The sequence below is a fragment of the Homo sapiens genome, chromosome 4 (genome assembly GCF_000001405.40).
Source record: "Homo sapiens chromosome 4, GRCh38.p14 Primary Assembly".
NCBI lineage: Eukaryota > Metazoa > Chordata > Mammalia > Primates > Hominidae > Homo > Homo sapiens.
This window is the reverse complement of record NC_000004.12, coordinates 146997291-147012290: the sequence shown is the minus strand read 5'-3', so window position 1 is coordinate 147012290 and position 15000 is coordinate 146997291. Positions and strand designations below refer to the sequence as shown.

At 39.1% G+C, this 15000-nt stretch overlaps 1 long non-coding RNA gene across 1 annotated transcript in view; it reads left to right on the top strand.

The window, feature by feature from the left end:
* LOC105377475 (uncharacterized) overlaps positions 1 to 15000 on the top strand; it is a 37313-nt gene that overhangs the window by 8715 nt on the left and 13598 nt on the right. Inside the window, exons 3-4 of the long non-coding RNA XR_939315.3 lie at positions 8113 to 8257; positions 9927 to 10057. This is a non-coding gene — a long non-coding RNA (uncharacterized LOC105377475). The remainder of the gene's footprint in view (positions 1 to 8112; positions 8258 to 9926; positions 10058 to 15000) is intronic.

The following is a 15000-nucleotide window of genomic DNA, read 5'->3' as shown; positions in this document are numbered from 1 at the left end:
ACAAGAAATGCAGCAGATAATAAACTCAGCAGTGCAGCTCAGCCTCGGTACACTTAGATTGGAAGAAAAAAATGGCCATTAACCACAAGGGAAAGGACTGATTTCTCTGAAATATCAAGTCCAGCTGCACTATCGTTTCTAATGTCTTTAACAAAATGTTGCCATAAACCACAGATGCCAATAATAGCAATAATCCCTCCAAAACGGGTTGTTACCAGCAGTTAGTGACCAGTTTCTTAGTTAATGGCCTGAGGGAAAAGGCTTTAAGAAAGCTGTATTCACTATTTCCTCTCAGGCAATTTAACTGGATGCATTAAACTGCATTTTCATCGGGATTTCAAAATGTTTGTGCTCTGACAAGGCGCTCATCCTAAGGTCTTTTGATTAAATCTCCATCTCCACAGTCTTAGGAAGGGCAAACAAGCAACGGATCTAAGTGTGGAGGTGGGATAATTTAAACAGTCTCTTAATTAATAACTAAGCGACAGTCTGAAACATATTCAAATATATGTGCCGATATAATCACGGGGAGCGTCTTTGTTCTTGATTTAATGCTCTGTGCCATTGATAAACTGTAACTTGACCCTCCCTTCATTCATTTCTGTGTGGAGATGATAATCCCTGCCGCCTTCACTGGGGGGTTATTGTGAGGATCAAAGGTAATTCTATTGGTGAAAGAGATTGAAAACTACCTGGTGTTTGGGATCATGAGGCAGGAACTGCCAGCCAGCCGCTTCCTTCGTCAATAGTAACCAGGTGGGCTTTGACAGAGCGAACTAGTTAATTCTCACATTTGTCCAGAGGGTTAAATTTTAACTCTATATTGCAAAGGAGGTTGGGGGTGGGAGTGAGGAGGTGACCAAGGAAATGAGTTTTCAGTAATTGCTTCTAGCAAGAGTCTGAACCCATTCAAATTTAGATTGAAAATTCAAGATTTAAGGGATTCACTTTTATTTTAGGGCTTATAAACCACCAACCCCACTTTGTTTGAAAACGTAAATTTTTTATCAGATGTCATAAGATGTCTGATTATTATAGGATAGTTTCTGTTAGAAATAAATTGCACCTAGCATGCAAATTAACTCAGGCCTATAGACTTCAGACTTTGAAGCGATTACAAGGAGTTTTAAAATTCCACATGAGAAAAAATGAGAATGTTATAATAATTCATATTGGAATAAACTGCCTGATGTACATGAGCTCAGAGATGTTTTACCAATAAATGTGAGAATAGCTGACATAACTATATTTCAGGCGATAATCTGATAACATCATTGAAATGGTCATTGCTATGTCATTATAATAATAATGATAATGTCAGTATAATAATAACATCTGCCTTTGAGGAACTTCAAAATAATTTTGTGTATGCCGTCTTTTTTCATGCATTGTTTTTCCTGACCACACTTAAAATAATTTCCTTTCCTGATTCATATTTTATATATGTAATTAAAATATTAAAATGAACTATGGCCACCAAAACATTTGTTTCAATGTGTTAATCATAGGAATAACACTTCTAGATTTAAATGCAAATGTTCTGACACTATTTATATATCAATCATAAATCATTCAGCAACCTGAATAGGTTACATAGTATTATTTAATTCATCTACTTCCACAGTCTATTGGTTTTAAGTGAAACATTTCAAGTGCTCATTAATCTCAAACATTAACCTAACTTTTTAAATAAAGGCAAAAATGATTGACATTACAAAGAAAATGGCATGCGTCAAGTAGTGGTCTGCTCATATTCATTAAATCTCGTGCTAGCTCAGATTATAAATACTCACTTTTATGTGTGCACTGAGGGGACAAAGGTATGTGCACTCTCTTTCACTCTCTGTGTGTGAATATATATTATGTTACATACAATATATCCCATTTTCTGTGTGAAAACAAAGCAATGTAAGTGAAGCATTACATAGTAAGTTTATCAAATCAAAATTACATTTTGAAGAAAATCAAGTATGCATTTGAAATCACAAGTTTTTATTTTCCTAATAACCAAATTGCAAGCTGTCTAGCACGTGATCCCTTTTGCTTTATTTTTTTAGAGACAAGGTCTTGCTGTGTTGCTAAGGCAGGAGTGCAGTAGTGTGATCATGGCTCCCTGCAGCCTCGAACTCCTGGACTCAAGAGATCTTCCCGTTTCAGCCTCCTGAGTAGCTAGGACTACAGGCAGCTGGTAGAGGCAGGGTCTTGCTATGTTGCCCAGTCTTCTTTTAAAGGATAGTTGAAAAATTATGGATGGCAGGACTTGTCAGCCGGAGAGGATGGTTGAGAATGATGGGCCTCTGAAGAGCTCAGATGGGTATGAAGACACAGCCACATGCCAAGGCACCATTTCACAGCAGAAAAAGGCAGGATGGAGAGAAGCTGGCAGCTGCAGCAAGAGGCACATGCTGACCCTGCTCCCCTCAGTTCTGCTCTTTCTCCCTCACCTCAACATGGCCAGCTTTGGGATATCTAAAAATACTGTAATAGAGACAAAGCTTTTATTCTGCCATGCACCTCAGGAAAAAGGCGGTACTATTATAAAGTTTTGTTTGAAAGGCAGAGCTGTGAAGGAGGGAAAGGGTGCCATGCAAAGTGTGGGCACGGACATGGTAAAGACAGGCTGTGGGTACAGGAAACCAACGCTGCAGCTCCTCCAATGTTGCTTCATACAACTAGCCCTTTTGCCCATCAGTGCATCTCTTAGGACTGTTATGCAAACGTTATTTTTTATTTTATTTTATTTTATTTTATTTGAGACAGGGGCTCACTGTATTGCCCATGCTGGAGTGCAGTGGCACAATCTTGATTCACTGCAGCCTTGGCCTCCTGGGCTCAAGTGGTTCTCCCACCTCAGCCTTCCAAATAGCTCGGATTAGAGGCGTGTGTCACCACACCCAGCTAATTTTTGTATTTTTTAGTAGAGAGGGGCTTTTGCCATGTTGGCCAGGCTGGTCAAACTACTGAGCTCAGGTGATCGCCCGCCTCAGCCTCCCAAAGTGCTGGGATTACAGATGTGAGCCACCACACCTGACCCTTTAAATCAATGTGAAAGAGTGCTGAATTCCTTGGAAGGAAGATAAGCGAGTGTTCCAGTATGACCGCATCTTGAAAGAGCTTGACAAATTTGGGAAAAGCACATGGAGCATAATGTTAATTCAGAATTTTACTAACTTAATTTTCTTTTATTTGATATGGTACTCACTTGCTGTACATTAGAGGAGTCAACAAAAAAATATAAAAGGATGGTAAGAGTACAAATTCTTTCGAAGGGCACTAGTGCCTGTGTTTTCTCCTGAGTGTGGCCATTGGTGAGAAGCAGTGATGGCAGATGAGAGGAAAGAGAAAGGAAACTTGTATTTAAGTATTTTCTCACATATTATTTCTTTCATCCTCAACTATGCGGTAGCTATTATATTATTACAGTCGGTAAAGTCACAGAAAACTTAAGTTAACGTGCCTAAGCTAGTAACTTGCATAGCTAGTTAAGTAGCAAAATGCCCAAATCCAAAACCAAGTCTTTCAGACACCAATGCCAAGTTTTTTCTGCAGCAATAATTGAGGGTCCCAGTACCCATAAAAATCAGGCCTGGCAGGGCCTCTGCTTAGAAACATGTTCATAATTCATTTGAATGATTATAAAGTACCTGTTATTGCAGTTGCATTTTAAAATATCAAAGTCTACAAGTTTCCATAGTAAATATTCTGCAAATATATTTGATCCCTGACACATTTCTACATTTTCCTGGCTGGAAAAGGAAGCTTTGAAAAAGATGTTTCTATCTCAACTAGTGACCTACTTGCTTTGCAATTATCAGAAGATTAAAAAGAACTTTTCTGCAATGTTTTCTTAGCATTCTGGTGTGTAAATTTCTGCTGCTCACCTCTCTCTAATCTGCTTTTATTTTCAGACGTTAGATTTTTCTAGAGACTTACTTTTCCGAAGAATTCAACAACAATTCTCTAAGGCTGCTTACAGAAAGAACTCTTGCACCCTGGGCTTATCAAAATGTGCAACATTTTTCAATATGCAAGGTTATCCGGTGACCAAAGACATTTAATATGAAATCACAAAATTTCAGGGCTAAAAGGGACTACTGAGGGCATCTAGTCCAATTCCTCAATGTGTTTGAAATTCATTAGGACAGAGCATGATGTATGTAGTAAAACTGATTTCTTTCCTTAAATGTGGCTCTCTCATGCTACAGACATTTTACTACAGGCAATTCTCAGCATTGTGGCAGCTTAACAGCCCCTGAATGTAAACGATATAAATTTAATTGATTTCTGCATATAAACAATGTTGTAACAGGATCGTGAATTTGGAGCTCTGTTCCCATTTGAGACCATAGAGCGTCACTACTTCAGTATTAACACTTAATGACAATAGCCTTTTCCAAATTTTTAGGAAGAAAATTAAATTAATTACTGAAATTCTCTCCACTAAAACTTAACCCTCATTTTTTCTTAAACCTTCTCTATTCTCATTATGTAGAGAATGAGAAAATAGGATCTCAATCAGTACTAAATTAATTTAAATTTGATATCTGAATATTTCATCATATCTTATGTTATGATTTTCAGTTGCTCTACCAGTTAAATAATACATTTGAGACTCAAAGTCATAGGGGACTACTTTTCTAACTAAGAACCTACTCTTAATTTTTTAATAGAACAAGACACAAATACACCATTTAATCAATTGTCAATAATATGTTTTTATATCACACAGCCTAAAATATTGCAATTATTTTTCTGTAAATGGTGAATTAGAAATAACACTACTATGTTTATCAATTATATAGGGAAGCCAGAGAAAAACCAATGATACACATTTATCCAGTGGATTCCCAGAAGAGCCTTGGGTAACTACTGAGGACTCTTGGGCTGGGGCCTGTCCTGGCTAGGGCTGCACTAAAGTGTCAGGGCAGAGGACAGGGGAGTTGCATATTGGCCAGGTGGTACAGTTGGTTTGCTCTCTTCACTGAGTGCTACAAGTCAATAACGTGCACAATTTACAGAATTTTGTCCATATTAACCACAGGAAGTTGGATAATTTTGAGTCAAGAAAGCATCATATTATAGATGATGAAAGTGGAAAATAATAGAAAGGACTCTTGTAAAACACATTAAAAAAAGAAAGTAATAGAAAGTGAAAAGGTTTAGCTTATAAAATGGAAAGGAAATGGTCATTGCTAATTCTTCAAAGAGCTTATAAAGAAATTTGAGACAGCCTTTCTAATATCTGGAAAGGTTGTTATGTTATACCTGACTTGAAGTTTTTTTAAAAAACCCTAAGCCTAGTATTGTCTGTTTTTGTTTGAAGAACACTGTGCTTCTCATTGACAATTTGCAAATTCAATTTAGGACTGAAGGATTAGCTTCTCAACCTACTTACCAGAACCAAGATTAGGTGCTGAAAAGAGTCACCTAAAAAAAGGGGGCAGAGAGTCACCTAAAAAAATGAGGCATCACTATGGGTGATAGTACCATGTATTAAAGATTCCAGTCTAAAAAGCAAGGTACTTGAGTATCTCATTCAATCTCCCCAGCATAGCAGGTCACGAAAACTGAAAATAGAAACAATTCTTCTAGCAGGCATTTGAAGAAGCTCTTCTAGTTGATCTTCCAATTGACTGTGAAGATGGGTGAGAGGATATTAATGACATGAAACTAGCTAATAGAATTATGTGGAATTATTGCTTATTATAAGCAGAAAAATTAAACTAACAGGTAGAATTCTTCTGGCTTTCAGTTTTAATATTGCATTTTTTAAATGCCTTCTTGGTGAAACTTTAATATAAAATAATATCTTATTCAGAACTGGTTACTTAGGATGAGGTCTGGTATTGATGACTAAGCAAAATTATTTGTTGGAGACTGAGCTGACTTCTATCTTTTGGTGTGATACCATGACCTGGCTCTACATCTGGCACATAGTAAGTGTACAATAAACTATCGTTAATGGACAGCATAAATGAATGCATGCTGTATGTGTGAGATTTGGCAGAGTAAGGAGGCGGTAGATTGTAAGGTAGAATATTAGTATTGCCTCAAAAATGTGTCTTAATTCTTTTTTCTTTTACATTTTTCTATCTCCACTGCTACAACCACAGTCCAGATTTTATCGAGTCTCGTGTAAAATACTGTACTCGCCTCCTACTTGGCCTTCCTGCTTCCACATTTACCCCTTACCTTCTGTTCTCCAAAGAGAGGCCAAAGTAATTATTTTAAAATGTGAGTCAGGTCATGTCACTCCCCTGCTTGAAACCCTCCAATGGCTTTCTGTAACACTTAAAGTACAATCTGAACTCTTCGCCTGGCCTATGAAGGCCCTGCCTTCTTAGGATTTGTCTGACTGTCTCATATTCCATTCCTTACTGTCCACCTTAACGACTGTGCTTCTGGTACATTGACCTTCTTCTAATTCCTTGTATTTGCCAAAGCTTATTCCTACCACAGGGCTTTCGCACTAGCTGCCCTTTTTACCTGGTAAGCCCACGTGCTCAGAAAGCATGCTCCTTCTTATCACGAAAGCTTCAGCTGAAATCCCCTTTTTGGAGAAGCCTTTTTTGACCACCCTGCCAAAAATGGCCCCTAGGGGCTCTCTAAGACATCACACTGATTATTGTCATTGTTCTGCATTTATCACCACCTGCTATTTTCTTGTTTACTTTTTAAATTATTTGTCCCTCCTACATTAAAAGGGAGGCATCATGAGAGCTTGTTCAGTTATATACCCTCTTAATTTAGTAAAATAAATACATAAATAAATTAAGTAAGTAAGTACAGAGAGAGAGAGAATGAGAGAGAGCTGTATCCCCAGGAACCAGAACAGTCTGCCATTTAATAAGAGTTCAGTAAAGGATTGTAAAAATAAATGAAGAAATGAGAAGTTTATCTTGATTTGTGAAGAATCCATGGTGGAGAATCTTAGCAATTGGATTGTTCTGTGTGTTTATATGCATTTCTGTGCACATCCCAAATGGCAAAATAACAAATATCCAGAAGGGGGATATCAGTGGAGCAAGAATATTTCTGGTACCATGTAGGCAACCCAATGTCTTCATGAATAGTATTATTTTCTTTTTGGCCAGGCGCGGTGGCTCATGCCTGTAATCCCAGCACTTTGGGAGGCCCAGGCGGGTGGATCACCTGAGGTCATGAGTTTGAGACCAGCCTGGCCAACATAATGAAACCCTGTCTCTACTACAAGTACAAAAATTAGCTGGTCGTAGCGGTGGGTGCCTGTAATCCCAGCTGCTCAGGAGGCTGAGGCAGGAGAATCGCTTGAACCCAGGAGGAGGAGGTTGCAGTGAACCGAGATCGTGCCACCTCACTCCAGCTTGGGTGAAAGAGTGAAACTCCATTTCAAAATAAATAAATAAATAAATAAATAATAAAAAATAAAAGATATTTTCTTTACAGCCTTCTATTTGGAGCTCTCATCAGATTTGAGCTATTTGAATTATACTTGGATGCACTTAAAATGTGAAATTTCCAGTGGCCATTTTCTCATAACTTCTGACTTGTTTCACAAAGTCTGTGATGTTCACTGTGATTCTTCTCATCCCATCAGGATGGTCTTCTGTGATCAGGCTTATTCAGTCGCCGACAAATAAGCAACAGCTGTGTCTGGAGCTAGCATATTCCTAAGTAGGATGTTGTAAGAGGAAATATAATGCAGTGGGCTGGGGGAAGGAATGGAGGTGGTGAGATGGGAACCTGTCCACCCATACCAGTTGAAAAACCTACTTTAAAACTCACCCAGCACCCACTGAGCTTAATGTGGTTGTTACAGAGAGCATGGGCATTGTGATGGCTTGTGTCAGGCCTAATTGGGACCTTCTGGGAGCTAAAAGGACATGCAATTTGAGCAGAAAAATGTTAATCCAGCCACAGACACTGTATTCACAAGAAAATTTCCCTTCAGTCCTCCCTGCCTTCCTTACTTAGCAATTCAAGGGATGTGATCGGTGCATGCAAAACTTATAAAAATTTAAACTATTTGGGTGCTTTTGGAAATGAATTACAGAACTCCACTAAACAAACAAACAAAAATCCTCCATGAAAATGAGATCCTTAACAGGTATTGCTGACTCCTCTCTCACGTAGGGGCAAGTCCAGCCAGTCAGCAAGCCACCTGAATTTACAGGAGTGACATTTCCACGTTATTCAAATTCAAAACAAGCCTACTCGGTGAACCTCAGCCCCAAGGAATTCACAGTGCTCTACATCGACTCCCAATTTGCAATTCTAGGTAAGTGTTCACCAAACCACTGTTTTTTGCTTTTGTTTTTGTTTTGAGATGTCGTCTTGCTCTGTCGCCCAAGCTGGAGTGCAGTGGGACAATCTCGGCTCGCTGCAACCTCCACCTCCAGGGTTCAAGTGATTCTCCTGCCTCAGCCTCCCGAGTAGCTGGGATTACAGGCGCGAGCCACCATGCCCCGCTAATTTTTTGTATTTTTAGTAGAAACAGGGTTTTGCTGTGTTGGCCAGGCTGGTCTCGAACTCCTGACCTCAAGTGATCCACTCCCGTGGGCCTCCCAAAGTGCTGGGATTACAGGCGTAAGCCACCGTGCCTGGCCTCCAAATCACTTCTGAAACAATCAATGGAAAATAATATGAGAGAAATCTCTCACTCCCTGGCTTAGAGGGAACCTGAAGGTGGGAGGAGGTTTGTCTATGTTGATATGATCAATTCTGGTGTCATGAAGACCCAGGGAAGACCACTTCCTGGAGGGGGCTTGCCACACTTATGTTCATTCCACAGTTGTCTTTCACTGGGGTAAAAGGTCAAGGTCAATGTAGTTTTTTCAGGTCAAGAGATGACTCTAGGTATTGTGTCCTTTATTTCACCTTGCTCGTTGACAAATAATGAACACAAAAAGCCAACAACTCATAGATGCAAAAAAACAGTTTGTACCCCTCACTTTTGTTAAGTACAATGTGACTTGCCATGAAAAGAAGCTTTGACCAATAAACTATGGTGGCTATCAAGATAGATCTAAAGGAAATTAAGCAAGAGATCTTAGAGAAATATACTTTACCATGCCTGCCTTTCAATTTAGAAAACAGCAAGACAAATTCTAATGGGTTTCACTGAGAATCTAGATGTATTGGGGACCTTTGATATAATTGTTGAATAGTCTTTATCTTGTCCTGGTTTGCCCTAACACTTATTGATTACTCACTCTGTTCCAGATATTATCTAAGAGCTTTGCATACATTAACTTATTTAATTCTCACAACTCTGAGAAGCAAGTATACCCATTGTAACAGACAAGGAGGTGGACAGGGTCACATGGCTTTAAGATTGCAGCACTCTCATGAATAATCAAATACCAATTAATGGATTGTTTTCAAAAAAGAACTTGAGCAAAACTGGAGAGATAAATCTTGTAAGATTTAACATTTTCAGACTAGAGAATGCTTAGAAAAGAACATTGGGAACTATGAGGAGTTAGAGAGCAGCATTCTAGACTTAAATGAGACTTTTTGTCATGGATATGAGCACACATTAGTCAGAACCTAGAGTTTCCAAGGACCAGGAACCTTGCAATCATACCTTTTTTCTACTACCTAAAGCAAAATAAAGTCCTGGTTAACATTTGCCTTGACTGCACACCATGCATCCTATAAGTTGTTTACACATGTTTTTGCTTTGTTTTGTATAAACATTTTATCTCAGGGGTTGCAGGAAGAGCAATGTGGTAAGTTCCCAAAACATGATCTCTTCTATGAGATTGCTTCCCTGCACCTAGTGTGTAACTACAAGTAACTTCCTTATGGGTTATACTTAGGACAAGGTGGGGTGATGTGTCCTGCCAGGCTCCCCAGAAGCAATTCTTTGTTTATCCATATTTCTTCCAGATCATCTCCAAAGACCTGTCTACCTGTGTTTTAGTTCACCTATGTTTTATTTACAGCATCTCACTGAGACCAGGCAGTACAGAAAGAGACCTTGTGTTTTGTGACAAGTTCTTCTTTCAAGTCTTCATGCTCAAAGAGAATTGACTACAGAGTGTCAGGTGTCCTTCAGCTGAGATTTAACAAGCAGGTAGGATACAATGATCAGAAAATGGCTTCATTGGACTTCATGCAATGAATCACAGACAACATCTTAAGTCCTTTCCAAATATTCCAAATTAGAGCAATATATATTATAAAATTAATTTAAGAAATTCACAGTGGGAATCTGATTTTTTCCCCTATAATACTTTCCTTCCCTGATAAACCTTCTGTAGAAGTAGCAAACATGATTTTTCATTCCTGCCATATTCAGCGCGGTAGGAAATAATGTCAGCCAGAGACATTAACTCCCGCGTTGTTGTGCATGCTTAAGTGTTCTCATTAACTACCATGCCAGCTCTAAACTTATTCAAGAAAAAAAAAAGATCTCAGCATGACACTCATTCTGACTATAGGAAGTCCCATGAACTGTGTTTAAAAATTCAGCAGAAACTGTCCTCATCACATACATGAAGTTCTTTTGACAAATGCCTAAGGCCTTGAATTTTAGGAGCCACTTTATGATGGTTTTCAGGGGATCTATGAAATCAAAAAAAGATGTGATATGGTTTGGCTCTGTGTCCCCACCCAAATCTCATCTCCAATTGTAATCCCCACGTGGGATGACGTGGGAGGGACCTAGTGGGAGGTGCATGGATCATCGGGGTGGTTTCCCCCATGCCGTCTTGTGGCAGTGAAGAAGTTCTCACGAGATCTGATGGTTTTAAAAGCAGCAGTTTTCCCTGCGCCCTCTCTCTCCTGTCATCATGTAAGATGTGCCTTGCTTTCCCTTCACCTTCTGCAATGATTGTAAGTTTCCTGAGGCCTCCCCAGACGTGCAGAACTGTGAGTCAATCAAAACCTCTCTTGTTTATAAATTACCCAGTCTCAAGTAGTATCATTATAGCAGTGTGAGAATGGACAAATACAAAATGCCACTACAGGTGGCATTGTCTGAGAATATTGGGCTTTTTTGGTTAACAACACCAGGCAGTCACTGGCAGTCCTTGTTAGATTTCACACAAATAATAAACTCTTTCAACATTTACTTGAAATGCTTACTTCTGAAGCTGATGAGCAAGCCAATGGCAAAATAGGCAATGTTATAAAACAGTTTTGGACTTTGAAAATACCAGCTCAGTAACTGCATGTGTTAGCCACACACCCTAGTCCACCATCATATACAACCCATGTTGCCCAGTGAAGTGGAAGTCGCAACAGTGAGGACTGTAATATGCAGCACAATGTATTCAAGGGCACATAACAAGGCTATTCAGAGGTTCCATCATCAGCAGTAAATGTAGAGTTGTCTCTCTTTTGGATTTGCTCTACAAAATTCATCTTAGGTGTCTCTGCTTTTGTTCATGTGCTTTAAGTACATCTATGTCAAGGCCCTCTTAAAGACCAGCCAGGGGAGATTTCCCTCTTTCTTTGGGTCTGAAGTAGTCTGCAAATTTCCACATAGCATGAGATATGATGGGATTCCTGATGTTAAGGGAGAAGGAAAGCCTTGGATTCCGTGGTCCAAAAGGATTGAATGATTTACCAGGCCCTGATGATTTTCCACAGTAAGCTCATGCAGCACCCCTTTTAGACTGCAAGGATTCCTCACTACTTAACTTGATGAAATGTATATAATCTGCAGTGAACTACTAGAACTGAAATCATTTACCATGAGTACTCATGGCTTTAGGTCCAAGGCAGTGAAAGGGCATTGGAGAAGGACTTGGGCACGGCTGGGATGGCACAGGCTATCTATGAAATCAACATCTATAGCACAGTGATTCTCAAACTTTGCTATACTCAAGCCTCCAGCCCCACTGAAGCAGCCTCACCTTGGCTGTTTATGACAGGCAAACAACCACAGGGACAGCTATGTATGGAGAAAATTATCCCAAGACAGACACAGTTTAAAGGGCACCAACACCTGTCTTGTGGTACTTGATGAACACAATTTGACTCATGTATCATTTACATAATCTGCCTATAAAGAACGCCATTTTTTTGTAATTTTTTACATTGAAACTGTAAGACTGTGCATCCAAAAGGCAAATTTCAATGACTTAAGTCTGACCAAGATAGCAGAAGTTACTTACCATAAATCTGGTGCCTGAACCAGAGTAGGGGGCCAAAACTTCCTGGATATGTGTCATATGCATTCACAACTCTAATCTTGGTAACATGCTAAAATAGAGAGGTTTCGGCACATTAAGAAATATTTTCAGAGTGGCAGACTATATTGTTCAAATATGGAATCATCCCTTTAAATATAGAACACTTAACTGTGCAAGTCATTTCCATTTACTCTTGTCTATTTACTACTATACGCTGTCATTGCTAAGGTCCTTAATAATTCATGCATTCCTAGTTTCCTCTCCTTAAGGTTCTTCTATAGAGCTAGGATGAAGCAATGCCTCATTACTTACACTTCTTATCACCTCTACATTTACCTGGTCATCAGAATGTTTATCTGTGTAAAGAATTTCTCTATTTCTATGATAAAACATTTTGAAGTATTAAAAATATTTACTGGCCGGGCGCGGTGGCTCACGCCTGTAATCCCAGCACTTTGGGAGGCCGAGGCGGGCGGATCACGAGGTCAGGAGATCGAGACCATCCCGGCTAAAATGGTGAAACCCCGTCTCTACTAAAAATACAAAAAATTAGCCGGGCGTAGTGGCGGGCGCCTGTAGTCCCAGCTACTTGGGAGGCTGAGGCGGGAGAATGGCGTGAACCCGGGAGGCGGAGCTTGCAGTGAGCCGAGATCCCGCCACTGCACTCCAGCCTGGGCGACAGAGCGAGACTCCGTCTCAAAAAAAAAAAAAAAAAAAAAAAATATTTACTTGACCTCACTGGAGCAAAAACATGAGGTGTTTTCTTCTAAATTCCAGTATCTAACACAGTGTCTAACTCATAGTGGCACTCAATAAATTCTTATTAAATTTATTTTTTTAAATTTTATTGCCAAAATGAAACATGGTGCAAACCAATGGATGCTAGCCTTTTCGCACAGCCTTTTACACCCTCCTCTTCAAATGCTACAAAGTGCTGACTAGAACTTCAATGACTTACTACTTTCACTTCCAAAACTTTGATTTAAAAAAAGACTTACTGGGAATAAAAATTAAGCTGCTTCTACAACATTGAGACATACAAGCTTGAGAAGATTTTTTAACACTTCTGCAGTGGAAAAATGGTACTTAAATATTCATATTAAATCCATCATATAGGAACAAGTTTTATCAATTTCCATTTAATATCAAGACTCTCATATTTTATTTTAAAAAGCTACTATGAAAGAGCAAAGATATAGCTCATGAAGGAAACGGCATTTGAGAGGAGCCTTGAAGTACATGCAGGATTTTGTTTGGTTTAATTTTACTATTGATTTTAATAGAAGTATGTATATATAAGTGATACGCACTTTCGTGTGTAGGTTTATGTCACAAACTACCAGGCAGGGTTTTGATATAGGAGGGGAACAAGGATAGGAAGCCAGGTCAGTGGGAGATGAAGGATCATGTCTTATACATAATAGGGGCTGGCATGTAGTAGGTACTCTGTGAATGTTTAGTGAAGGAATAAAATGAAGGAAAGCTGGTCAGACATGGTGGCTCCCTTCTGTAAACCTAGGATTTGGGGAGGCTGAGGTGGGAGGACTGCTAGGCCAGGAGTTTAAGAGAAGCCTGGGCAACAGAGCGAGGCCCCGTCTCCACAAACAAACAAAAAAACTAGCCAAGCATGGTGGTGGTGCATGCCTGTAGTCCCAACTACTCAGGAGGCTGAGGCATGAGGATTGCTTGAGCCCATGAGTTCAAGGTTGCAATGAGCTATGACTGTGCCACTGCGCTCCAGCCTGGGCAATACAATACCTTGTCTCTGAAAAAAAAAAAAAAAAAAAAAAAAAAGAGGAAGCTACAAAGATGAAACATACAAAGGCTATTTAAAGAACCACAAGTTGTCCGGTTTGATTGAACAGGTTAGGGCAGGGTTTCTCAACCTCAGTATTCTTGATGATTTGAACTGGATAATTCTTTGTTGTGAGGGAGGACTGTCATTTGCAGTTTAGGGTGTTTAGCAGCATCCCTGACTTCTTCCTACTTCATGCCATTAAACTCCCAAGTCATGACAGCCCGAAATGTCTCTAGACAGCGCCATATATCCCCCAGGTGGCAAAATCATCCCTGATTGAGGACCATTGTTAGGGAATTCCTGTAAAACAGAGCTGGAGAAGGAAATTAGGATCACAATTTGAGAGCTCTTGCATGTTAGGATAGGATATTTGCACTTAATTTGATAGACACAGGATATTTATTAAAGATTTCTTGGGTAGAGAATGGCAAAATCAATATTGCGATTTAGAGAGAGTAAGTTGACAATTTGTAGGAATGTTTGAATTTTTGTAAAGTGTTAATATTTATATTATATGTAACAAATAAGTAAATTATTTAACTTCCTGCGCCTCAGTTTTCTAAAATGTAAAATGGGGATAAACATAGCAGTATAATGAGAATTAAAGTGGGTAACTCATGTAAAGTGTTTGAAACACTGCCTAGCGTATTTTAAGGAAAAAATAAGTTTTTGTTATTATTGTTAATATCACATAAAAAACCAACCTGTTCTACAACCTTGAGACATGCAAGGCCTTGTTGTGGTGTTAGTAACTTTGAATCATTTTTGAAGTACAAGTACCATGTCTAATATGAATCAATATCAAATCATTTATTCCAAAACTAAGTCCCACTTTAACCAAAATAATCACACCCAAAGGGATTAATATTCCCATTCCTTTTTAAACCCTGAATTAAAGGATAATAAAATCACACTTAAAAATAAAATGAGAGAAAAGGTTAGAAAAAGAAAATGGATTTTAAAGCTTCTCAAATAACGTATTGGAGTGCTCTGAAACCATGTAGAGACAGATGGAAGGAAGGCAACAGCCTAAAACTCCTCTGCAGGGGAAACTTTGAATGGGTTGGCTTCCGCAACGTA